At 35.8% G+C, this 27561-nt stretch overlaps 1 protein-coding gene across 2 annotated transcripts in view; it reads right to left on the reverse strand.

Annotated features, from left to right (window-relative positions):
* The window catches only part of NUP37 (nucleoporin 37), a 47012-nt gene that overhangs the window by 12318 nt on the left and 7133 nt on the right, over positions 1 to 27561 (reverse strand). For both annotated transcript variants that reach the window (NM_024057.4, XM_047429530.1), the window contains exons 3-6: positions 26688 to 26812; positions 15612 to 15684; positions 13686 to 13780; positions 346 to 436 (exon numbers count right to left, since the gene is read on the reverse strand). In NM_024057.4, coding sequence (NP_076962.2) covers positions 346 to 436; positions 13686 to 13780; positions 15612 to 15684; positions 26688 to 26812 — 384 coding nt within the window. The remainder of the gene's footprint in view (positions 1 to 345; positions 437 to 13685; positions 13781 to 15611; positions 15685 to 26687; positions 26813 to 27561) is intronic.

Below are 27561 nucleotides of genomic sequence, written 5' to 3' on the forward strand. Positions count from 1 at the left end.
AAAAAAAACAAAAACAAAAACAAAAGAAAAACCAAAACAAAAAAAATCCCTGCCTACTGCTACTAGATTGTTGGAACACCAGTTTTTACACTGAAATCCACTAAAGGTCAGGAAAAGTGTAGTTTGAATAAATGCCATTTATGGATGATGGCTGTCAAATAAAAACCTTAACAATTATAGAGAAACTTCTACAGTACAGGTTTCTAGACTAATCCAAATGCCTTTGTGCTGACTAGTATCTCTGAGATGGGAAAAATCATTGATCTTCCTCCTCTATGTATGTGATGTCTTATATCTCTATAAGTCTTTTCAATTTGATAAGAGAGTTAAATTATAAATAATAACCTTAAAAGTCTCCTCAGGATGCCAGCACACACTCATGCCAGGAGAATGAAGAACAAAATGAGCTGTTTGCACTCCTTCCAAGTTCCAAATCCTAATAAAAGAATAACAGTATAATGTTAATTGTTCTTGATATATCATTACTAAAAAATTAAATTTCCATGAATTTATTCAAAGCTATTAACTACAGATTATAAGACAGACATTTGTACTTAATGTATATCTTTTTAAAGAAAATTATAACACCACTTTTAAGTAATATGAAAGTAGGATGAAGAATTTAAATTTTACCATAATCATGGACAAAAGAGTCACACACATTTTCCCTCTAATTAATCTATCACAGCAACACTTTTACATGGTAATCAAATTAAATTATTTATATACTCTTTATTTTGTGGGCAAAATCTTGAGGTTTCTAGGTCACTAATCAGGTTGTCTGACTACTTCAGTAGTCATTTCAACTGACGATAATTACTACTGGGGCGCTTACAAACACACACACGCATGCAAGCCGAGTATTTTTATTTTCAAAACAACATACAGAGAAGCTAATATGAAGTTATGTAAATTTAGCAACACGGCCATCTTCCATACTGCTTATTCCTTCTACCTTTAGGATTCCAACCCAGTGGCTACTTCCTATTTATACCTTTTGTAATTTGGCTTACTTTTCCAGTTTTCTCTCCCCAAGCTGGCCATGGTTGACGATTAAAGCTGGGTTGAAAGAGGCATTTGGTTCTTCCTGTTCTCACTTTCCTCAATAGTTACAAATCCACAGTAACAAGGACCAGGTTACTCACCAACATGGCTCTCCATTTCAATTGCTTTACCATTGCAGAGGGAGAGCAAGACTCAGAAATCTCAGTCATGGCACCATGTCGTGAGAATGCTATCCCTCACCCACTGCTCATTCTCCATACTCAGCCACTGTTACATTGCACTGGCACAGAGTATGGCACAGAGTACAGCCGGTGACAGAACTCGGTGGGAGGCTGGCAAAGTGCACATATAATTCTGATCCTTAAGAACTGAACTTGACTGGGTGCCATGGCTCATGCCTGTAATCCCAGCACTTTGGGAGGCTGAGACAGAAGGATTGCTTGAGCCCAGGAGTTCAAGACCAGCCTGGCAAATACAGTGAAACTTCGTCTCTACAAAACACATAAAAATTGGCCAGGCATAGTGATGCACACTTGTAGCCCCAGCTATTACTTGGGAGGCTAAAATGGCAGGCTGACGTGGGAGGATTGCTTGAGCACAGGAGGTGGAGGCTACAATGTGCCACGTTTGCACCTCTGCACTCCAGCCTGGGTGACAGAGACCCTGTCTCAAAACAACAACAACAAAAACCAACAATAAAAAAAGGACTGAATTCATTCATTGGAATTTTTCTTCTAGGTTTTATAGTTCATATCTCATTAGGGAACCAATGAGGTTAAACCAAACAGGTTTAACCAATTTGAGGAATTTATTTTCAATGTGTAGGCAAAAATTTATTTCAAAGAAAGTAGAGTATGTATTGGACAATGCTACTATTCTGTGCCAAAACACATAACTTCAAATATTCTTCTTCCTTGTAGAAATTATTGGGTCTCTAAATGTTGAAATATCATAGTTACATACAAATGAACACAGATGTTTTTCAAAATGATTATCTTAATGATTAAACAATTTAGAAGCATACTGTTCTCTTGCCAAATCAATACTTTTCATCTGTATTTATTATACAAGGGAGACAATTACAATTTAATTGAAGAGAGAAATCACATTTAGCAGGGGTTTATGCAACTGTGTTTCACTCCCCACGATGAATTAGATTATTAATTATGGCAACTGATCAAGTATTTCTTCTCTATTGCTTTCTGCAAAATAAAGTGTTGGGCTAGCATATATTTTAACCACTACTGAAATAGTATGAATTTGTCTTGAAAATTCAGCAAGTCCCATGAGAGGATGGTTTAAAACCTCCATTCTTTTGATCTTATTCTAATATGTATTTGTTTTGTTGGCTATTATATAAATTGAGTAAATACATTCCAAAATATTTTCATGATTTTTTTCTTTCAAATGAAGGAAACAGAAGAGGTAGAAAATATGGATAAAAATATTAAATAAAAACTGGTCAGTTAATGAAATGTATTCCTGTCCAATGAACCAAAGTTTTACCTAATTTTTAACCAGTATTTTATCCTGAACAGAACCTGACATTTAAGAAAACTAACAAACAAACAAAAACCTGACTTAAAAATGAGGAGGGTGATCCAGATTAGTTTTCAAGGGATTGGGATAAAATGATTTATGGTTTATAATTATATGCTTATTCATAATTCTTAGTGGTTACACAATCCAAGTAGTAAGTATGTAAAATACAACAAATTGGGCTGAAACTAGTTATCCTAACTAAATTAGCTACAGATGGCACAATTTAAGTTGTTAAGTCTTATTTTCCTTTTTGATAGATTCCTTAATTAAGCCCTTCTCAAATCCTTTTATGGAGCTCAGCTCATTTTTCTGTGTCTTTACTATATAGCTCATCTGGTTAATATTACTTACATGAGATAGTCACTTTTTTTTGGGTAAAATTTTTGAAGTATACCATATATAATAAAAATACACAAATCTTAAATGTACAATTCAAAGAGAATACACTCAAAAAGAATGGCACCTAAATCAAGAAACAGAGTATTTCCAAGACTCCAAAAGTTGTCTTGCGCTCCCTTCTACTCATACTTCCTTACTGTCTCACAAAAGGTACCCACTATTCTGACTTCAAATGTTATTGCTTACTTTTGCCTATTTTTGAACATCATAAAAATGATGTCCATTTTCATATGTTACGTATTTTCTTGGTCTGACTTCTTTTACTCATCATTAGGTTTTGTGAGATTTACCACCATTTGTTGCATGTTGTTGTAATTTGTTTTTGTTTTTGTTTTAATTTTTTTTTTTTTTTTTTTTAGTATTTATTGAACATTCTTGGGTGTTTCTCGGAGAGGGGGATGTGGCAGGGTCATAGGATAATAGTGGAGAGAAGGTCAGCAGATTAACACGTGAACAAAGGTCTCTGGTTTTCCTAGGCAGAGGTCCCTGCGGCCTTCCGCAGTGTTTGTGTCCCTGGGTACTTGAGATTAGGGAGTGGTGATGACTCTTAACGAGCATGCTGCCTTCAAGCATCTGTTTAACAAAGCACATCTTGCACCACCCTTAATCCATTTAACCCTGAGTTGACACAGCACGTTTCAGAGAGCACGGGGTTGGGGGTAAGGTTATAGATTAACAGCATCCCAAGGCAGAAGAATTTTTCTTAGTACAGAACAAAATGGAGTCTCCTATGTCTACTTCTTTCTACACAGACACAGTAACAATCTGATCTCTCTTTCTTTTCCCCACATTTCCCCCTTTTCTTTTCGACAAAACCGCCATCGTCATCATGGCCCGTTCTCGATGGTCGCTGTCTCTTCGGAGCTGTTGGGTACACCTGCAGAAAGGCTGTCACTTCACACTTGGAAGATTGCACAGTGGCCAGGCAGAGGCGCTCCTCACTTCCCAGACGGGGTGGCGGCCGGGCAGAGGCGCTCCTCACATCCCAGACTGGGTGGCGGCCGGGCAGAGGCACTCCTCACATCCCAGACGGGGCAGCCGGGCAGAGGCGTTCCTCACTTCCGAGGCACTCCTCACTTCCCAGACGGGGCGGCCGGGCAGAGGCGCTCCTCACTTCCCAGACGGGGCAGCCAGGCAGAGACGCTCCTCACCTCCCAGACGGGGCGGCCAGGCAGAGGCGCTCCTCACTTCCTAGACGGGGCAGCCGGGCAGAGGCACTCCTCACCTCCCAGACGAAGGGCGGCAGGGCAGAGGCGCTCCTCACATCCCAGACGATGAGCGGCTGGGCAGAGGCGCTCCTCACTTCCCAGACGGGGCAGCCGGGCAGAGGCGCTCCTCACTTCCCAGACGAGGCGGCCGGGCAGAGGCGCTCCTCACTTCCCAGAGGAGGTGGCCGGGCAGAGGCGCCCCTCAATTTGTTTTTTCTTAATGCCTTATACGGTCTTCAATTAATTCAGTACACAACAACATATATATTCATTCTACTCCTGACAGACATTTAGGTTGTTTCCAATTTTTGGTCGTCACCAAGAATGCTGCTGTAAGCCGTCTTGCATATGTCTTTTAGTGAATATAGATACCCACATACGATCACATACACACACACACACCTGCTGGGTACATACCTAGGCATGGAATTGCTGGATCACAGCTTACAAATATATTCAACTTTAGCAGGTAGTTATCATCAAATAGCTTTCCAAGTTGGCTGCACCTCATATTTCCTTTTCCCCTCTCATATTTAATTACCAGTGGAAAAAGCCAAAACTTTCTCTCATTTTCTGACTAAAACAGTCTTAATCATTTATATGAATGGTAATAGGTACAGCTTTTCAGGTGCTCTTATTTTGTAAGGTACATTTCTCAACTCTTTTTTTTTTTGCGTTTTATTTGCAGTATCTATGTATGGACAAATGTGCCTAAGTTTTAAAATGTTGTAAACACAGTGTACAGTAGAATCTCTCTGAACTGACTCTGACAGATTTTTCTTTTTTCCCCCTATAGAAGTGCCAAGAATGAGAAGGCTATTTTCTAATATGCCCACATGTGCATTTGTTGCATGTGTATGAAGAGGGAATACAGCTTCTTTGCTTAGCAAACCACTGGTTGTATGGGATGTAAACCCATGCTTATTAATGTAATTACATAATATTACATAAACTGACAAAATATGAATGTGAAAGCTATTTCAATGAAACTAAGTCAATGCCAACTAACTAAAGGTTAAGTTTCTAAAAGAAAAAAAACTCACTCATATTAGGTATGTGTGACAGTTTTAAAAGATTAAATAATAAAAATAAAAATCTAGAAGTATTCTGAATTAAGACTGCTTTTCTAAGTGTTATTTTCATTGAAGACATTGTATTTTGGTTGTGGTTCATGCCAAAAAAGTGGTCCCAAGCCAATCAATGGACTCATAACCTAAGAAAAAAAAGCACTGGCCTAATATCAAAAGACTGGCAAATGGTTTTTAATATACATGGGTTGTATATTAAAATAAGGCAGGTAGGCATTCTTTTAAAATGATTTCCTGAGTTTACTGACTTTTTGTTATCTAAGAAACTTTTGGTCTAGACCACGTCAGACAACAGGATTTCTACTATAAAAGAAAAAAATTCAAAATTTGAAAATTCAGGTTTTAATATTTCCAAAATTATTACTATTGCAAAGTCAGTTATAACCACAGAAGCACACTTTTCAGGACAGTGGTGCATCACAGAAAGAGAAATGCTTTAAAAGCTCACAGCCGGCCAGGCACTGTGGCTCACGCCTGTAATCCCAACACCTTGGGAGGCTGAGGCAGGCGGATCACCTGAGGTCAGGAGTTCGAGACCAGCCTGACCAATATGGTGAAACCCTGACTCTACTAAAAACACAAAAATTAGCTGGGCATGGTGGTTAGGCACCTGTAATCCCAGCTACTCGGGAGGCTGAGGCAGGAGAACTGCTTGAATCTGGGAGGCGGAGGTTGCAGTGAGCTGAGATTTTGCCACTGTACTCCAGCCCGGGAAACAGAGTGAGAGACTCCGTCTCAAAAAAAAAAAAAAAAAAAAAAAAAAAAACCCAAAAAACAAAAAAAACCCCACAGCCTTCATAATACACATAATTAAGCATATGAAAAGATGATAGACCATTTCTCAAAGCATAAAAGTATAGAATAAATGTTATCAGGTTTAATTACCTTGGCCAAAACCTAGGATCTATATTAACATACATAGTACATATTTAAATGTTTGCAAGGGAAATTTAAAAGGAAAAGCTTTTATGGGAAAGTTATGTGCTGACATATTAAGGTGCCAATACAGACCAAATCAAAGGGCACTGGGTAAGTAAAGCATCACTCCTCAAGTGAAATAAAATGACAGTTTTCATCCAATTTGAACGATAATTATAATTAACATCCCCATCTCTCCTGACATTGTGGTCCTAAATAGAACTCTTAGATTTAGCTGTGATGATGGGATAGAGAGCTATTCAGATCTAAGATTATGAATTATGCTTATTTTACTTTTAGTATTTTATTGCTATGATTATTGCTTCATTTCAGGCCGAGTGCTTTTCAGCAGAACATTAAGTATCCCTACCATATGGTATTTAAATGTTATTGTCCCAATAAATTAACAAAAAGGTCCCATAAATTGGGTGTTGGCATACTGGGGATATCCTAGATATTCTCAAAGGTCTTTTAAATGGACAGTTAATAAAGAAAGATGTTCTGTCCGAGGATTCAACAGGAATATTCTGTAATATTCTGTTTATTTGTTCATTCTCCATTTTTAACATTTTTGGCAGCTCATTGTTTGCTAGGAAATTCATCGCAGAAGGGAATTTCTACTACCAAATGTTTTTTGACAACACAAAAGAAAGAATGGATGACATTAAATGACACATCTGTATCCATTTGGCCCTAACTGGTAAAGCAAAAAATATGAACCACAATCTTTCTAAAAGACATGACTAGATCACATGAATCTGTGTATTGATTAATTAAGTAAGAAAGAAAAGAACAAAGTAATACAGAGATGTAGTTATAAGGATTAGCAGGCACTTTACAATGTCACTGGTACAGGAAAGGGACCCTCAACATTCTTAGACAAGAAACATATTTTCCACTGAGCTTGTGAGAGCAAAACTAGGATTTTCTCTTAGTTCCAATTAATCAATTACTAAGTTAATCAGGTTATAGATGATTCAAAGAAGGGTAAGTCGTGGTGTATTTCCTTAGCAAATGAGCACACAATTAGAAAGTGAAACATTTTGCAAAAGAATTCAGTGCTAAAATATCTGGTTTTAAGTGCAAAAGGAGTTCAGAGGTGGGGAACCATGTAACTGAAAGCCCAAATCTAGAGATTAGATGGACAAATCTTTACAGTGGGTATGGGTAGGTTAGAGTTGGTAAATAAAGTTTTGTCAGTTTATGGTTGAGACTATGGAGAACTTTGAGAGCTAGGCAAAAGCCTTAAAGGTGGAGACAACAAAATAGCAGGATAGTTGGAAGAATTTTATAGCAGGATACTTTCAGTGTGTGTGTCCAAATATATTTAGAAAATAAGATTAGATTAATTCTTTTTTTAATACTTGAGACTACTGAGCAAGTAGTAGTTGTAGCAGTAGTAGTTTTAATGTACTAGCAGTACTAATGATAAAAGATTATTATTAGAAGTTTTACTGACTTCAGAGCAAGAATTAAAAGGGCAAAAATGAGATAATTGTACAGGCTTATTATTTTACTCTTCAATAACTGAAAATAATATGTCAAAATCAGAGTTGATAATAAAGACTGCATGTACTTTGAGGGTGGAGAGAGAAGGAAGGAGGTACCCTGTTTCATACAGAACACTAATAAACTACACCACACAAAATTTAATCTGTTATACATCTTCATGAAGCTTTGGGGAGGATAAAAATTTTATCAATTTGTATGCTGTTGCTTCATTTTGATTTCTTGTAATTGTAAACAAATTGAGCAGAAACTACATTTATTATCACAGAGATAAGAAACTGAGGCTGTCTCAGAGGAGAATTATTAACATCTCATTTAACTTATACAGACAGATAAATTTTTGAAGGATGGAAATTGTGAGAAATTTTGTCACATTTAAAAATAAACTTCAAAAATTAAACTCTCAACTGCAAAGAAATACCATATGGTAGTTTTCAAACAGACCATGTGTAATGATTTCATCTTTAAGGAATTCAGAGTAGAAGGGCTTTTTCTTTAACTAACATAAGCCTTAACAAAAGCAACAGTAACACTACCCAGGAAATATTAGCATTTCATTTTTTCCAAGAAAAATTTTGATAAACTTTACAACTTAAAATTTGACTATATGCTGAATACTAAAGCTATCAATAAGGGAAAGTACTCCTTTATCATTCACATCAATGGTCTTTCAAAATCTGGAAACTGTTTATGGATATGATTCCCATTTTATAATCCACTTACTGTAACCACATGAGGGCCACATAAAGCAAGCTTAAATTACTGTAGTCACTGATTTGGTGATATATTTTATTAAGCACTTGTTTTGTATTTCATCTACAAGGGCATACAGAAAAGAACAAAGTATCAGCTACTAGAGAGTGATTTTACCAGTAAATGATCATGTCAAGTTTTAGAAAATGTTTTCTTCACTTTACTGACTTCTACTCTATTACAGTCTTTCATTAACACCCTATTTCACTGCATTGAATTTAAAAATGTCTGCAAAAGTGATAAATGTGTTTTAGTATAATTTTTGGAGAGTTCTTTTAACGACAAAGAATCTCTATGTTCCATCACTGGAGCTAAAGTATTGCCATGCTCAACACAAAGTGTCCATTTTACCCCATTCTCAAGGCTCTTGTTAGAACTATGCAATTACTGATCTTGATTCAAAATGTTAGAAAAAATTAGAGTGAGTTTTAGAAGACAAGCAGGGAACTTTTCCTGAATTTTAACTATAACAGTATAATAAATCATGTAAATTATCCTGATTATACTTTGTACCTGGGCATGGTTTATGCACTCCCAGACGTGGATTACTTTCCAAAGAATGGTTCATTGGCCTACCTTCAGAAGGCTCTCAGTTTCCTTTTTGCTGTTTCCCACAAGGACTATTTTTAGGTATACTGCATATTTTGTGATCTCAATTGGGGTGGGGGTGGAGGAAGAACACTCCATCTTAATTATGGATCTTAAAGACTTTCAAATGTACATAAACAAAGGTAATATGAAAAACACATAGCTTGCATGTGGTACACAGAACAAATTTGATAAAAATCATTTTTCCTCTTGCAACATTTTTTAAACAACTATATTACTGGCTTAGTGAATAGCTTAGGTAATTTAGTATTCCTTTATACAGTGATTTGGTTACATTCTAATATCTTATTCTTTATTTTTTATATGCCACCCTTCTCTCATTCTTTTAAAAAATGATCCCAGTTAGAACATGACAACTACAAATATTTCATGTTTTATAGAGAAAGTGAATGGCACATTATATGCACACCTATATTTTATTAAACTAAAAATTCCCTGGTTTCTAGAAGTCAGTTTTCTTTCACCATAAACTTTTATCTAATATTTTAAAAGATTATTGAGGGATGAGGAGGAGGGATGGGATTTACTACTGATATCCTTTGTAGTTACAGTGCGTACTAGGTCTTGTATTTCTTTTGTATCCCCCAAAGTACTGAATATTGGGTATACTAAATGTGTTTAATAAATACTTGTTGATCTGACTTGTTCTTACAGAATGGTACTGTTTCTAATATACAAGAACATCTGTTATTTGGCAATGACTGGGAATGAGATGTTCTGTATTAGTGAGTTTTAAAAAATAATAAGCTTAACCCACTAAATACTTAAATGACACTTTTACCTTCTTTTGGAGGAGGAGATAATAATTTTTTCTAAATGAATATGCACTTCTTTACCTCTCAAATACTGTAATAATTTTAGCCTTCTTTCAATGACACTAGGTCATAACTATGAACGTATTTATATTTTTCTGTGCATATGCATATACAAACACACACATAAAGCATCAGTATTTTTATCAACCTGTGTATATATGTGTGCATATATTTTTATATATACATGTATATGCATGTGAGTGCATCTGCATATGGTAGACATGATGAGGGATCATAAAGAAAATGGTGTAGAATATAAGGCTGAATGACTAGCAACCCCATGCTTTACTTGGGAATTTCTTTTATTAAACACATCTATCAGACGCTTGCTTTTTGTTTCAGTAATGGCACCTTTTTCATAAAGATACATATTTCTTCATCAAGATATATACTTGTCATACTTTTCATACAGAAAATATTGCAAGAATATTATCTTACTTTTTCAACTTGACATCCTATGATTTATCTTGCTATGTTATTCCTATTTTGATTACCTGTATTTCCCTATTTCTCTAATGAGATTTAATTTCATTGTATTACTACTAACATGAGCTTTTATCCTAAAACTGTAGATCTGCTCAGCGCTATGACACTGTAGAACTCCAGATGGCACTATTTACATTATACTCTACACAACTCATAAATCTCTACAACTGTGCAACTTGACTGCCTTGCCTCTGCCTTACATTTTCATGTTATCTTATTTTTCTGATATCCAGTCTTACTCATTGTAAAGAAGAAGAAAGACTACCTATGTCTTCATATGTAGTTGTTATCTGAGCTTATACACAATGCATTATTATTCTCTTTGTTTTCCTTTTATAGAATATATCATAAAATTAAGGGACGATAATAATTTTCTGTACTTATATATTTGGAAGGCTACATTTTCTGTGAGTTTCATTTAAAAAGGTGTGGTAGGCATTATAAAATGTTTGTTAGAAAGGCAGTGTTGGAACTGATAAAGACCAACTTTAATGAGAACCCAATTTTCTTATAAACTTGCACAGATCATAGAATAGTAAAATTAGATGGAGTCTTAGATAAAATGTAATCTATCATCTTCCATAATAACATTTTGTATTATCAGAGGTACCTTTGTTCACAGTACGACTCTTTATTCTGTTTGATTCAGAATTTGGCAATTTTCAATACAACACATACATTTCATGAACCTATTCAGGTCACAGATTGTTTTAAAATAGTGTTCCTAGGGCAAAATTCTGCTAGCTGATTATAATATAGTGTCTTTCTTGGAAATGTCAAAGTGAAACATCAGAAAATATGCATAGATCAAAATATTGAGGTTATTTTAAATTTTCTTAAGTAAGCACTGGGTCTGCTCTTTACAGTACAGAATACATATTGTAGAACTGCTCATATGATATACTCTCTTGTCACATATGTGATAATGTAAGAATATATATGTGATATTGTAAGAATCTTACATTATCACATATGTCCTCTTAGAATTCCTTCTTTCCTTGCTATGAGAGTGTATGATACTATCTACTCTTTCTCATTTTAAACTTGTTTTTATATACGTTCTGTTTTTAAAAAAATCTTACCTATATTGCTTAGGTTTTGGCCTAAGAGGTTTGGCTTTAATAACCAATCAGAGTTGTTTATTTTTGGTTGGTGAACTAAGCTGTAAATTCTAAAAATACTCCTAGTTTGATGTTGTGCATCAACCCGAAAATCTCGGTGGTTTACAGAAATAAGCATAAATTTCTTGCACATGGGTCTATGGGAAGCTCTGTTTCCATAATGCCATATGGGTCCATATCTGCTCCACGTGTTTCTCATTCTGGGATCAGTAGCTATCTAGGACATGCTCATCTCATAGCAAATGACAGAGCACAGGAGGTCAAGTCAAGCCAGGCAAAACATTTGAAGCTTCTGCTGTGTCACACCTGTTAATGCTACATTGGCCTAAACAATTCACAAAGCTAGGGCTAATTAGATGGGAAAATCTCCTTTCATGGGAAGGTGAAAGGAAAGCAAATATTTGTTGAACAATAATATCAACAACCAGTCTGGCAAAATGAGAAACTTAGAGGCAATGTAGTCAGGTTTTTAAAAAATTAAATTTATTTAAACTAAAAGACTTACTCTTTAGTTATTCCTTTCCTACTTTTTAGAGTAATAATGTCCTTTCTTTTACAAAATGATAGTGGTAGAAGGCAGTAAACTTAAGTCTTATATTCGACAAAATAAAAAGTTAGCAACCCTATGTCAGTCCCCTAAATTTTTAGAGAATTTTGCTAGTTTACAAAAAAAATCTCAGAGTCATAAGAAAACAAACAAACAAAAACATAGACTACTGAGTGTGATCCTAGGTCTCTCCGGCTTTCGTTCACTATTCAGAGGCCATTCCTTGGCTTGCAAAGACACTCATTTTTCCCCTTTGCAGGTTTCATTATTCCAAATGCTTGTGATTAGGAAAATCTATGTTTTAAAGAGCTGAAATGCCATTATTTATTTCCAGTGACCGAATTTTTACCTTAAAACGATTCCATTTACTCTTCAGGTCACTATACAAACTTGGTTTTGTAGTACCTGGGGCCCTAGAATCTTAATGTCATGTAAATCTTTCATATCTCTGACATGAAAATTTTAACAGGCAGTACATAAAGAATAATGGCCTATGACTCTATCACTTTAAAAAGATGAGCTATATTAAGAAGATTAAAAATTTAAAAAGTAGCTAGCAGCTTTACTTCTAATGTGAAGTCATACATATTTCATAGTTTTATATGTACATAAGTACTAATAAATACTAAGGATTTTGGCATAGTTTTATGAAACATTATGCAAAACAGCAGAGCAGCAGTTTTTCTCTCCCTCACAGTATCGTTAAAGCAAATGAAGCAACTGACACCCTTCCAATGACTGATGCACTCATTTCACTCCTGACTCCTCAGCTTATTTCCACCTGCTATTCTTCCTTTTCATCTTGTTCTTTATTTGTGATATTCTCCAGCTTTACACACTATTAAAATGTTATAGCTACCTCATCTGTTCTAAATTAGGGGGTGAGGTAGAAGAACATAATAGTTAAATGTATTGTATCTAAAGAAAACCTTATGCAGAAACCTCTGAATTTATCAAAACACTAAATTTTCCATCAATCTTATGTAGCAGATGAGAGTCATAGTTCATTATTCCACACAAACTTATCATACAGCATCTGTAAAGTAACTTGACAACTGCATTTTACTCCTACTTATCTTGTCCAATATTGAAGAATTTGATCCAATATGTTTGTGTTTTTTTTTTTTTTGAGATGGAGTGTCGCTATGCCACCCAGGCTGGAGTGCAGTGAAACAAGCTTGACTCACTGCAACCTCAGCCTCCCAGGTTCAAGCGATTCCCTTGCCTCAGTCCCCCGAGTAGCTGGAATCACAAGTGCGCACTACCGTGCCTGGCTAATTTTTGTATGTTTAGTAGAAATGGAGTTTCGCCATGTTGGTCAGGCTGGTCATTAACTCCTGACCTCAGGTGATCTGCCCACCTTGGTCTCCCAAAGAGCTGAGATTATAGGCATGTGGCACTGTGCCCAGTCCAATATAGATTTGGATTTCATAAATGTGAAAATCTGAAATAAGAGATAAAAGACACCCATGGGAGGCAAGGAAGTTTTCATTAATGGTGATGAGGACTATCTCACTGGTTTTGAAACTCATGTTTGTGCCATACCTACAGTTCAAATAAGGTATGCTTCTTTTACAACACTCTATAGAATTTATGTAAAAGTCACATTTTTTTTTCTCATTTTAAAAATGTAATTCTCATTAAAATGGCAATTTAAAAATGTGGTTATAACATAAGCAACATACCTGCAGGTGTGATCGTCACTCACACTTGCAATTTCTTGGCCTTCTTTGGGATCAAACACCAAACCATTAATGAAATCGGTATGGCCCTCTAAAACCTGACAGAAAGAGAAACAGAAAGCTTAGCAAGAAAACAGAAAAATAACCTACAATATTCCTACATAATATTTTTGCTTCACTGCCTTAAAAGCTTTCACTGCCTGTTTTTCTATAAATATTTCTTAAGCAATCCGCTATTTTTAAAGCACGATTTATACACCCACTTTTCTAGAAGGTTTATCTTGGGAAAAAAATTGATCATTCAACACACTATTAGCTTAGTCTTTCTTTTCTAGTATGCATTTCTTACAAAAACACACACACACACACATTTTTATTGTACCTGTCCTCATATCACCTCCTTTCTCACTTATTATATAAAGCCTAAATAAAAATTAGAGCTAGAAAACTTTTTAGGGGTACCGAGGTAGGGTACCTCTAGGCTTTTTACATTATATCTGCTGTTCTGCATACTCACTACTTAACAAACACACACAGGATGGACTTCACCATCTAATGCCTTCATTTACATGCTCAATGTGACTGCTAGCAGTGAAGACAGCTAGTTGTTATAAGCCCATAGTTATCACCAACACAAAAAATCTCGACACAGAAGCAACAAATGAGAAGTTGCACAGTGGAGGACTGTGTGAGCAGATAAAGTTCAATCTGTCTAAATCTTCATAGTTGAAATCCTAAATAGGCCTGTCAGATAATTACTTTAATGGTTATCATTCTTTCTACCCTTCCTTCTTTCCAAAAACTCAAATTTGATCTCAGTTCTGAGGTTATTAAAGCAGTTCTATATAGTACTGCTCACTATGTAGAAATGTAATATTAAAAAAAAAACAAAAAACAAAAAGATTTGGGTCAAACATTCCTGAGCAACTTTAACAAACCCAGGTCCTCCAAATCATTCTCCAAAGCTTCTGTCACAGTCTACAAGACAAACTAAATTAACCGTAAATGTTTAATGTGTATTATAACTAGCATATTAACTTTGGATAGGTCAAAATTTTATGTGCCATTTATATACTTGGTTATTTCTGGTACAGCCTTAAATTAACCAATCCATACAGTACATTAAGCCCACTGTAAATAGCTTACAGCATAATTTTTACTATTTTCTAAATGATTGGAAAGGTTTGTAATTTATCTTTGTTTTATAACAATATTCATATTTTGGCTTATTAGAAAGCCAAGAAGGCAATACCATTCTTAAAAGAAAACATGATGCAATTTTGACCCAATCTGAGGGTTATTATTATAGTAATAGAAAACACACATACGGCGTTTACTATGTATCAACATTATTCTAAGCGTTTTATATGAATTTGCTCAGTCAATGCTCATAATCCTATAAGGCAGCTGCTATGATTACCCACATTTTACAGGTAAGGATATTAGCACAAAGAGATTAGGTTACTTAACCAAGGTCACACCACGACTAAGTAATAACACTGGAGTTTAAATGCAAGGAATCTGGCTTCTGTGTCTGTGCTCTTAACCGCTTTGGAATTCTGCCTGTGCTATGCTGTACTGATCATTTGTTCCCATGAAGTTCAACTCTTACTCTATGAATGGTCATGTCTATTATACTCCTACTATATCCAACTGTAAATTTCTAGTTTTCTTATTTGTTGTTCCTACCTAATATTTCAATTTAATAAGAGATATCAGATTTATAATCTGCAGTCATTAAGAACTTAGTTCTTAATAATATAGTAAGCTAGTTATTATAACCTATAGTAGAGTAAATGAGACTCTAAATTATATACTTTAATGATGACCATAAAAAGCCATTTTAAATTGGAATAAATCCAATTAAAAAAGCAAAAAACAAACACGTTTTAAAATAAGCTCTAAAGATTTATATGGTTGTCAACATACCTTATATTCATTTTTATCCTGAAGATCTGAAGTAAATAATCTAATTTTCATATCAGCAGCTGAAGTACAAAATCTGGAAGCAAAAAAACAAAAATATACCAATTTTTAGCCTTTGTAAGTGAAAGGTCTCCCCCTCCCCCCCATCCTTCCCTTCAGATCACTGAAGCTTTTATCATAACTCATAATCATGCTTTTTATGGAGGGGGAAAGAAGAATGTTGTGGCTCTACTGTAAAAAGTATTATACAGCCATCACAGAAAGTAGGAGTCATATTATTTTATTTTGAGAACACACAAAAGGTTAGTCTATTCTGGATGTGCTTCTTCAGTAATAAAAGTGTAGAATTTTACACTAAATCAGCACTTGAATTTAATTTTAAACGTTTTCTTAAAAGCATAAAAGGATGGATTTTAAAAAGTATCTTCATTTTAGCCAGGTCACCAAGACATATTAAAAATATTGTTATACATCTACCTTAGTCTTTGCCCTCTTCTGTTATCCATAATCCTTAGTTTTTTCTATTCCTCCAAATAAATCAGATGAAGTAAGATACTATTTTTATAACTATAAAAGCTGATAATATTTATACCTACTAAAAGCTGGAGTATTATTTATACTTTAAACATTTAAAACATGTTTTTCAGTAGTTAATCAATGGATTATTAAATTAAAAAACAAAACCTAAGCAGCAAACACTCCTTTTTTTTTCCTTTGAGACAGACTTGCTCTGTTGCCCAGGCTGGAGTGCAGTGGTATGATTTCATACCACTGCAGCCTCCACCTCCCAGGTTCAAACGATTCTCCTACCTCAGCCTCCCAAGTAGCTGGGATTACAGGCGCCCACCACCACACGTGGCTAATTTTTGTATTTTTAGTAGAGACAGGGTTTCACCACGTTGGCCAGGCTGGTCTCGAACTCCTGACCTCAGATGATCCGCCCATCTTGGCCTCCCAAAGTGCTGGGATTACAGGCATGAGCCACTGCGCCTGGCCAACAACTACTTTTTAAACTAGTTTATCTTTAATCCTAAATTTTCTAGATTCTCAGGATGTGAGACAATGGCTGAGAAAAAAATTTAAATTATATTTATATACTGAAAAACAAAGTTTATTTTCAATTCTTTGGTAGAAAGAGTATCATACACAAATCTAAATTTATTCTTTAGTTTGAGTACAGTGAGCCATTTTTTCTCAACTAAAGGCTCTTAATCCACAGACCCTGATGTGTTGGTAGACCTTTGCTACTACACCCCTTTCCAGTAATTTGTCAAGAGTTGTTAGAGAAAACAGATCAAAGCCACCAGGGAATGATTCTTTGTCCAAGGTCTTCTCAGAGGCAAAATTAAAGTTGTAGTGGAATAAAGCATGTCTTCTTTCAAGAAATGTCTGTCTACTCAGGTTCTTTGCCCATTTTAAAATATAACTGTTTTCTTGTGATTGAGTAATTTGAGTTCCCTACATATTGTTGATATTAGCCCCTTATCAAGATGTATGATTTGCAAATATTTTCTCACAATCTGTAGGTTGCATCTTCACTCTGTTGTTTCCTTTGCTGTGCAGCTCTTTAGTTTAATACAATTCCACTTGTCTAGTTTTGCTTTTGTTTCCTGTGCTTTTAGGGTCAGATCCAAAAAATTCACTGTTGTGGAGATTAATGTTGTGAAGCTTTTTCTGTTTTCTTCTAGCCATTTTACAGTTTAAGGTCTTAAGTTTAAGTCTTTAATCCAATTTCAGTTGATTCTGCATATGGAGTGAAATAACGGTTCAATTTCATTCTTCTGTGTGTAAATACAGTTTTGCAACATCATTCATTGAAGACACTGTCCTTTCTTCATTTTATGTTCTTGGCACCTTTGTAAATAATCGATTGACCATAAATGCATGAATTTATTTCTGGGCTCTCTATCTTATTCTATTGGTCAAGGTATCTCTTTTTATGTTAGTACCATGCTGTCTTGAATACCATAGCTTTTATTTTGAAATCAGGTAGTGTGATGCCTCCGGGTTTGTTCTTTTTTTTGCTCAAAATTGCTTTGGCTATCTGGGGTGTTTTATAATTTCATATAAATTTTTTAATTGATTTTTCTATTTCTGTGAAGAATGACATTGGAGTTTTGATAGATAGGCATTGCATTGAATCTGTGGATTGCTTTGAGGAGTAAGAACATTTTAACAATATTAATTCATCCAATCCATGAACACAGGATATCTTTCCAATTATTTGTGCCAAGTTCAATGTCTTTCATCAATGTTTTATCGTTTCTGTGTACAGATCTTTTACCAACTCAGTTAAATTTATTCCCAAGATATTTTGATGCTTTTGTAAATCATATTACCTTAATTTCTTTTTCAGATAGTTCATTGTTAGTATATTAGAAAGGTTACTGATTTTTGAATGTTGATTTGTATCATGCAACCTTACTGAATTCACTAATCAGTTCTAACAGTTTTTTGGTGGAGTCTTTAGCTTTTCTATATATAAGATCATGTATCAGGAAACAGACAATTTAACTTCTTCCTTTCCTATTTGGATGCGTTTTAATTCTTTTTCATATCTAATTGCTCTGGCTAGGACTTCAAGTACTATGTTGACAAAATACTAGCAAACTGTATTCAAGAGTACATTAAAAAGATCATTCACCATGATCAAGTGGGACTTATCTCTGGGATGCAACAATGTTCAACATATGCAAATAAATATATGTGGTTCACTTTATTAACAGAATGAAAGACAAAAACCACATCATCTCAAAAGATGCAGAAAAAGAATGTGACTAAATACAACATTTCTTGATAAAAACTCAACAAATTAGGTATAGACAAAATGTTCCGCATCACAATATAGGCCATCTATGACGAGCCCACAGGTAACATCATTCTTAATGGTGAGAAGATGGTGGTCTCTCTTTTAAGATTAGGAACAAGACAAGGATGCCCATTTTTGCCACTTATATTCAAAATAATACTGCAAGTTAGGTAATTCTATTTTTAATTTTCTGAGGAACCTTTGGAATGTTTTTCATAGCAGCTGCACCATTGCTACATACTGACCAACAGTATAGAAAAGTTTCAATTTCTCCACATCCCGGGTCAACATTTGTTATTTTCTGCTTTTCTAGTAGTGGCAATCCTAACATGTGAGGTAACCTCTCATGTGGTTTTGATTTGTATTTCTTTAATGATTAGGGATGTTGAACATCTTTTTATATGCCTGTTGGCCATTCATATACCTTCTTTGGAGAAATGTTCATTTAAGTCTTTTTGAATCATTTTTAAATTGGATCATTTATTTTGTTGTGGTTGAGTTGTAGAAGTTTTTTGTATACATTCTGGATATTTATCCCTTGTTAGGTATATGGGTTGCAAATATTTTCCCCCATTCTATGGGTTGCCTTTTGACTCTGTTGACTTCCCTTGCCATGTACTAGTTTTAAAGTTTGATTTAGTCTCATTTGTCTATTTTTTGCTTTTGTTGCCTGTGCTTTTGTTATCAAAACTAAGAAAAAACTGCCAAATCTGGTGTCATAAAGCTTCTCTCAGATATTTTCTTTTAGGAGTTTTATAGTTTCAGGTCTTATGTTTAGGTCCCATTTTGAGCTCATTTGTGTAAAGTCCAATTTTATCATTCTGCATGATACTCAGTTTATTCAACACCATTTGTTGAACAGACTATCCTTTTCCCCATTGTGTAGCCTTGGAACCTTTGTCAAAGATCATTTGATGGCTATGTGAAGGTATTTTTCCTAAGTTTTCCACTCTGTTCCATTGGTCTACATATTTATCTTTATGCCAGTACCATACTGTTTTGATTACTGTATAGCATTGCGATACGATTTGAAATAAAGAAGTGTGAGAACTTCAGCTTTCTCAAGATTGTTTTGGTCATTTGGGGTCCTTTGAGGTTCCATCTGAATTTTAGGATGGCTTTTCTGTTTCTGTAAAAAGTGCCACAGAGATTGATAAAGACGTCATTGAATTTGTAGAGCTTTGGGTAGCACAGACACTTTAACACTATGAAATCTTTCAATCCATGAACACAGGCTGTCTTTCTATTTATTTGTGTCTTTAATTTCTTTCTGCAATGTTTTGTAGCTTTTAGTCTTTGGCTTCGTTGGTTGTCTAGTGAGGGTTTATATGAAAGGGGATACTGTGCACTACATTAGCATTTATTTTGCACCTCTATATATTTATACATTGCACAAGAATGCCATGGCCGGGTGCAATGGCTCATGCCTGTAATTCCAGCACTTTGGGAGGCCAAAATGGGCAGACTACTTGAGCCCAGGCGTTCCAGACCAGCCTGGGTAACATGGCAAAACCCCATCTCTACAAAAAAAAAAATACAAAAATTAGCCGGGTGCAGTGGCGTGTGCCTGTAGTCCCAGCCACTTGGGAGACTGAGGTAGGAAAATCTCTTGAGCCCGGGAGGCGGAGGTTGTAGTGAGCTGATATCATGCCATTGCACTCCAGTCTGGGTGACAGGAGCGAAACCCTGTCTCAACAACAACAAGAATTCCGTGTCATCTTTAGCAGGTTGAAAAGTGCCCTCACGCCAGGCACAGTGGCTCCCGCCTGTAATCCTAGCACTTCCGGTGGCCAAGGTGGGTGGATCACTTGAGGTCAGTTTGAGACCAGCCTGGTCAACACGGCGAAATCCCATCTCTACTAAAAACACAAAAATTAGCTGGGCATGGTGATGTGCACCTATAATCCCAGCTACTCGGGAGGCTGAGGCAGGGAGAATCACTTGAACCTGGGAGGTGGAGGTTGCAGTGAGCCGAGATCACGCCAATGCACTCCAGCCTGGGTGACAGAGCGGGACTCCCTCTCAAAAAAAAAAAAAAAAAAAAGTGTCCTCAAAAAGATAAGTCTATGTGTTAACCCCTGGTAACTACGAGTGCTGCCTTATTTGAAAATAGGGTTTTGCAAACATGATTAAATTAAAGGATACTAAGATGATCATCCTGGATCTAGGGTGGGCCCAAAATTTAACAATGAATGAACACAAAAAAGGATAAACACAGAGGAGATATGAAGGGTAAGAGATTGAAGTGATGCATCAACAAGGCAAAGAAAGTCAAGGACTCCTGGCTACCATCAGAATCTAGAAAACAGGCATGGAATGGATTCTCCCTCAGAGCCTAATAAACCAACCCCACTGATAACTTGATTTTGAATATGTGCCTCCAAAACTGTGATAATAAATTTCTGTTGTTGTTTTAAGTCATCATGTTTGTGGTGGTTTGTTATGGCAACAGTGGGAAATAAAGACGCCATCATAAATAGTATACAAATATATGACTGTTTCATTAAATTGCTTAACAGATGTTGAGTATCAAGTTATCCCCTAAAAATGTGCCATATTTTAACAACATTTTCATTTGATTAACCAAGTCAGCCTAGTGGTGCCTTTATTACTTCTTAGCTATGCAACTTGAAGATGACATTTAAAAACTCAGGGCTCAGTTTCCTCCTCAATAAAGTAAAGGAGACTAGATTAGTTTACTTCTAATGCCCTTTGTATTAATAAATGAAAGCACTCTATCAATCTCATTTTAAAATGCAAATGTACACTCTTATCATTACTTTCATTTAACCTAACAAATACCTATATTTAATTAACAATGAATTATAAAAATAGGTGCTTTGATTTGGGACATTACAGGTCTGGCAAAAAGCAAAAAAAACCAAGGAAAGCCAAAACCCAACCAGGTCCGCTTTGTGGTCCTGATGGTGAAACTGGCCCAACTTCCCCACAGAACTAATGTTCATGGTTTGGAGATAATTACAGAGATTGACTCTCCTGATCTTAAAGCCTGAAAACTTGTATTTGTCTCCTCTGAGTTCCTTTCTCAGGAAACCGACCTTCAGGCCTCCCAGATAGCATAAAGGAACTAAAACTTACCAGATCATTGCATCTGCACAATGAGGCACCAGACCCCTCGTTTGTCATGACTGGTTCCTTACACCCCACAATTCCTGTCTTTCCACATGTAGTTGCATTTCTTCCCTGCTATATAAACCCCTAATTTTAGTGGGTTAGTGAGATGGATTTGAGACTTATCTCCTGTCTCCTCAGCTGCAGCACCTGAATAAAGCCTTCTTCCCTTGCAATACTTGTTGTCTTAGTCACTGGCTTTCTGTGTGGTATGCAACAGGGCCTAGACCAACCCCTTGTATTTCGGTAACAATGGCAACACGTTAAGAAAAAAAATAATCCCCTCCTATGCTGCATTTGGCACACACATGGTATGATAGGTTGCTAATGCCCAAGTTTTGATATCAGAACTTTGCCCAATTTAGTTCAACATCCCCTGTCTAGGCTAGTCAGCTTCCCTTTGGTTGTCCTGTCAGTCTATCTCCCCAACCATTCTTCACACTTCTTTCACAAGTGGACAAGACAAGGAAAAAAAAGGGGAAAAGGAGGCGAAAGAAAAGGCCTAAGAAACACTGAAGAAATACGTGTCGGCTGTTGGGGGAAAATGTTTCAAGTATGTTAAGGGTGGTCCAAGTGTGCACATGGACATTATGATATATACACACAGTAATGCTCAAACAGTACATTCATAACCCCAAACTGCAAATATAGTATTAATAGAATGCATAAACTGTAACAGACTCACAATGAAATACTACATAGTAATAAATAACTAGATCTACAAGTAGAAACTTGGATGAATCTCATATATATAATGTGAAGTGAACAAAGCAGGACAAAAAAATACATATAGTATTATTATATTCATAAGAAAGTTCATAAGCAGGCAAAATTAAGCTATATTGCTTAAGGATGCATCAGTAACTGATAAAACTATAAAAAAAAGCAAGGAGATGATTATCCTAATAAACATGAAACTGATAGCCTTTAAGGGGAAGGAAGAAGGCTGATTGGAGAGGGGCACACTGGCAGCCTCAAGTGTTAGTAATGTCCTATCTCTTGACCTCTGTGATTTCATGAATGTTTACTTTATAATAAACATGTTAAAATGCACATATATACTCTGTGATGGTTAATATTAAGTGTCAACTTGCTTGGATTGAAGGATACAAAGTACTGGTTCTGGGTGTATCTGGGTGTTTCTGGGTGTATCTGGGTGTCAAGAGATTAACATCTGAGTCAGTGGAGTGGGAGGGGAAGACCCACCCTCAGGAAGACACACCCATAATGTGGGTGGGCACGATCCAACTGGCTGCCAGCACAACTAGAAAAAACAGACAGATGGAGGTGGAAGGAGATGACTTGCTGAGTCTTCCAGCTTTCATCTTTCTCCTGTAGTTGGATGCTTCCTGCCATTGAACATCAGACTCAAGTTCTTCAGCTTCTGGACTCTTAGGCTTACACCAGTGGTTTGTCAGGGGCTCTTGGGCCTTAGGCCACAGATTGAAGGCTGCAATGTTGGCTTTCCTACTTGTGAGGTTTTGGGACTCAGACTGGCTGCCTTGCTCCTCAGCTTGCAGACGCCTTATTGTGGGACTTCATCTTGTGATCGTGTGAGTCAATACTCCTTAATAAACTCCCCTTCATATATACATCTATCCTATTAGTTCTGTCCTTCTAGAGAACCCTAATACATACTCTATGTGTGTTTAAACACGTATGTTATATTTTATACATGCAAATAAAGGGTAAGAAAAACTGTAAAACAAAGCTTATTCTACCTAATTCTTCTCCTTTGAATTTGTCCAATTATTATTTTGGGAATTCATTATTTATTTGCTCATAGGAAACTCTAGACAAATTTGCCACAATAATATCACTCATGTTGAGGGTCTCCTACGGATTTCCTCAGTTATAGCATAATGAAATCATAAAACTTTGTTCAAAATGTCATCTCTAAAACAGATAAAAGCTATTTTGGAAGTTGTTAAAAGAAACATCCCAACTAAAAGGGTTTGTAAAGAGGTATTAATAGCAAAATGAAGCCAAGTTCAGTAAAAATGTCAGCAAATAGAGGAGTTACAGTAATCAAAGAATACTTACTTAAAAAGAAAATTAATAATCTTACTGGGATCTAAATAAAACCAAACAAACAAACCCAGAAAACTTTATGGCCAGCCTTGTGTTGCCCCACTTTTCTTTGAATCCTTGCTGTTTCAGGGATATTTAAGTCCTTCTTTAATTGAACCAGAAAACCTCAGAGAACTGAAATAACATGAACAATGAATTCTCTAGCCACTACGCAAGAAAAGCAAGTAGGGATGGAAAGAGTAGAAAGGCAGGGAGAAAGAGAATTTAAGGCAACTACATGCTAATGATAAGCCATCATGAAGGATTTCTAAATGTAAGATAAAAATTAATGATGATAAGAGAGATGCTGAGTTATACCTTAGTCATGGTGATAGACTACTATTTATTTTAGAATACTATAAAAAAGCAAAGTAAAGAAAGTACAGAGAGTTACTATAGTATAATCACAATTATGTACAATTATGTACAAAAATGAAAAGGGTATTGGGAGTATAGGTGGCATTCTTCTCCTTATTTTCTGTGTTTTCTAAATTTTATTAAGCATTCATTATTTTATAATAAAAATAATTTATTTGAAAACAAGATTGTGCCTTCAGGTTGCTCTAAAAATAGTCTAAAATTAATGGCCTGCTAATGTCTTTTGAATTTGTTACTGAATTTGTATAGTTCCAAAAAGGTCTTGAGACAGTTTACCAAAAAATAAGAAAAATCCAACCAAACAAAAACACCAACCAGAAATGATGAAACACAGCAAATTCACTAAAAAGAGGACAGGAAAACAAGTACTAAGCAACAAGGAAAGCATAGAATACAACAGCTGAATATGTAGATTAAAGAGGTATCACAAAACTTAAAACCAAGGGAAGAAGACTGTTTCCACAGCTTTAAAAATTTAAAGAATCAAAGAGACTTGTTCTTGTTTAGGTCTAGATATTGTGACCACTTTCTTTTAATATAAAAGGAAATCAACAGCACACCAGCTGTTGGCAATGACATTACGTGTGCTGACAAAAGCTATTGTGTAGATTATTCAATTAAGTTAGCTAAATATCGGTAAAGGCTTCTAGGAAAAAACATGCAACATCTTCACAACCTATAAGAAATCACACAAAGATTTCTAATAGAAGAAACAAATATACCAAAAAAGCGTCAGCATTATCACTCATCATGGAAATGTCATTGTGGCATCAACCAGAATGGCTAAAATTAAAAAGACAGGCTGGGCACAGTGGCTCATGCCTGTAATCCTAACACTTTGGGAGGTCAAGGTAGGTGAATTGCTCGAGCCTGGGTGCTCGAGACCAGCCTGGGCAACATGGCGAAACCCCATCACTGCAAAAAATACAAAAAATTAGCCGGGAGTGGTGGTGCATGCCTGTAGTTCCAGCTACTTGGGAGGCGGAGGTGAGAGGGAGGGTTGAGGCTGAGCCAAGGGAGGTTGAGGCTGCAGTAAGCTGTGATTATGGGTCTGGCTGTCAGCCTGGGAGATAGAGTGAGACCATGTACCAAAAAAATAAAAAAAAAAAAAAGAAAGATTGACAATAGCAAATATTGGAGAATAGGCCAGGTATGGTGGCTCATGCTGTCATCCCAGCACTTTGGGAGGCCAAGGCACATGGATTGCCTGAGCTCAGGAGTTTGAGGCCAGCCTGGGCAACAGGCAAATCCCTGTCCCTACAAAAAATACCAAAATTAGCCAGGCATGATGATGGGCGCCTATAGTCCCAGCTACTCAGGAGGAGGCTGAGGTGGGAAGACGGCTTGAGCCTGGGAAGCAGAGATTGCAGTGAGTGGAGATGGTGCCACTGTACTCCAGCCTGGGCAATAGAGCCAGACCTTGTCTCAAAATGAATGAATGAGTGTTGGAGAGTAGGAAGACCACCCTTAGATTATTGGGGAAAAGACAAAATGGTAGAACCACTTTAGAAACTGGCATTTTCTTAAAATGTTAAACATACATCTACCCTGTGACTCAGCAATTCTACTCCTAAATTAAATCATATAACCACCCAAAGCAGTATTCAGCAAAAAATAATAACTAAAGCCTAGAAACTGTATTGGTACCTATTTACAGAAGAATGAATAAACAGACTATGGTCTATTGATACACTGTAATGGAGTACTACTTAAAAAGCACTGGTATACATAACAATGTGGAAAAATTGCAAAAACAAGCCAGACACAAAAGACATTCTGTATGATCCCACTTATATGAAGTTCTAGAATAGGCAAAACTGATTTCTGGTAATAGAAATCAGATCAATGGTTGCTTCTGCAGGGAGTGGGGTACAATGATTAACTGGGAAGAAGTATGACGAAACTTTCTTGGGTGACAGAAACAGTGCATGAATAGGGTGTGGGTTGTACAAATATACGTATTTGTCAAAACTGATCAAACTATACCCTTAAGAGCTGAGAATTTCAGAGTATCTAAATTATCCCTTAATTTAAAAAAAACGAAGTTAGCTTAATAGTTGATAACTTTTAGTTCCTAAGTACTGTCTACTAAAAGAAGACACATCTTTTAGATTTGACATTTGTAGAAGGCAAGGCTAGTGTTTTGTAACAGATCTTAAATAACCTAACATATTCTTGCCCCTGTAAAGAGGGCTTCAGCAGGCATTGCTAGGATTTTTTTCTCAGAAAACCATCATTCCTTTTAAACACTTTCACAAAAACTGAAGTCCAGGACCAGAACTTACAGATTTATATACTGTTGGACAAAAAAATGTGATCTTGGCCTATGGGTGGGGAAGGAAAGCTCATTAATGTCTCAACCAAATTTAGTTATTTTAAGTTATACTTTCAATAAAGTTGTAAATTCAGTGAACAATCTGTAAAGACCTTGATTCAGATGAATCTCACGTAAAAGGTTTTGTAGTTTGGCTCAAACACATGGTCAAGGCATCATAGTCATGGCTGTATATTTAAATCACAAATTCAGATGATAAGCCTAAATTATTAAGTAGTAGCAAATATCAAAATATCTAATATCTTGGATTGTGGAAAATGGAAATTGAGAAAAAAGTATCTATGATCAGACTTCCAATCATGTAACACAATCAAAGTACATTAGTAAGGAATGCATTTGGTACTGTTAAACTTACTTGATTACTGGAGGCAATGAATCAAGTCTAGTCTCTGGGCTCCAAGCTATGCCATCAACCCTGACTCCATGGTGAAATGTTCGAAGTGTTTTATACTGAATGCCTTCAACGTCTGCTTCTTCTTCCTAAGCATACACAGTAAATGTTTTAATAAGTAATGAGAACAAACAATATAATATTCTGTATTTCATTATAATGAATTTATCAGGAGGTTATGCTTATGCTTTTGAAAAGTTCAAAAGCAAATTACATATTAAGATTTAACTAGTTCATTGAATTAAAAAAAAATCCAAAGTTGTCTAAGCCTCACAAAATAACTCTCTAAGGCAACTAGAAACAAATGGTAAACATGTTCTACTTTATCTTAGGAGGCATTTCATAATAAGTTCAATGAAAATGGACTGCTTGGTCAGGCGTGTTGGCTCACGTCTATAATCCCAACACTTTGCGGGGCTGAGGTGGAAGGATTGCTTGAGCTCTGGAGTCTGAGACCAGACTGGGCAACACAGTGAGACCTGTGTCTACGTTATAAAAAAAGAAAACAAAGAAAATGGAATGCTCTAAAGAATCAAGATATTCTAGGTAAATGAATTACCAGAACCGGATTATCTACTGACAATATTAAAAAAATACACTGTACATTCTCACTACATGGAAAATACTTTGGGACCTTATAAAGACCTCAAAGTCTTTATAATCAGTGTCAATGATTTTCATGTAGTGTTACATGTGGCATTATATGTGTGTAAGATGCTACAAATAATTCATCTGAACTATTATTGTTTATGAATAGTGAATATGTAATAAATAATCTGGCTAATTTAGTTTTAGATATTTGATTCTGGGAATAAATGCTTAATAAAGTTGGCTTATT

Source organism: Homo sapiens, chromosome 12 (genome assembly GCF_000001405.40).
Source record: "Homo sapiens chromosome 12, GRCh38.p14 Primary Assembly".
Classification (NCBI taxonomy): domain Eukaryota; kingdom Metazoa; phylum Chordata; class Mammalia; order Primates; family Hominidae; genus Homo; species Homo sapiens.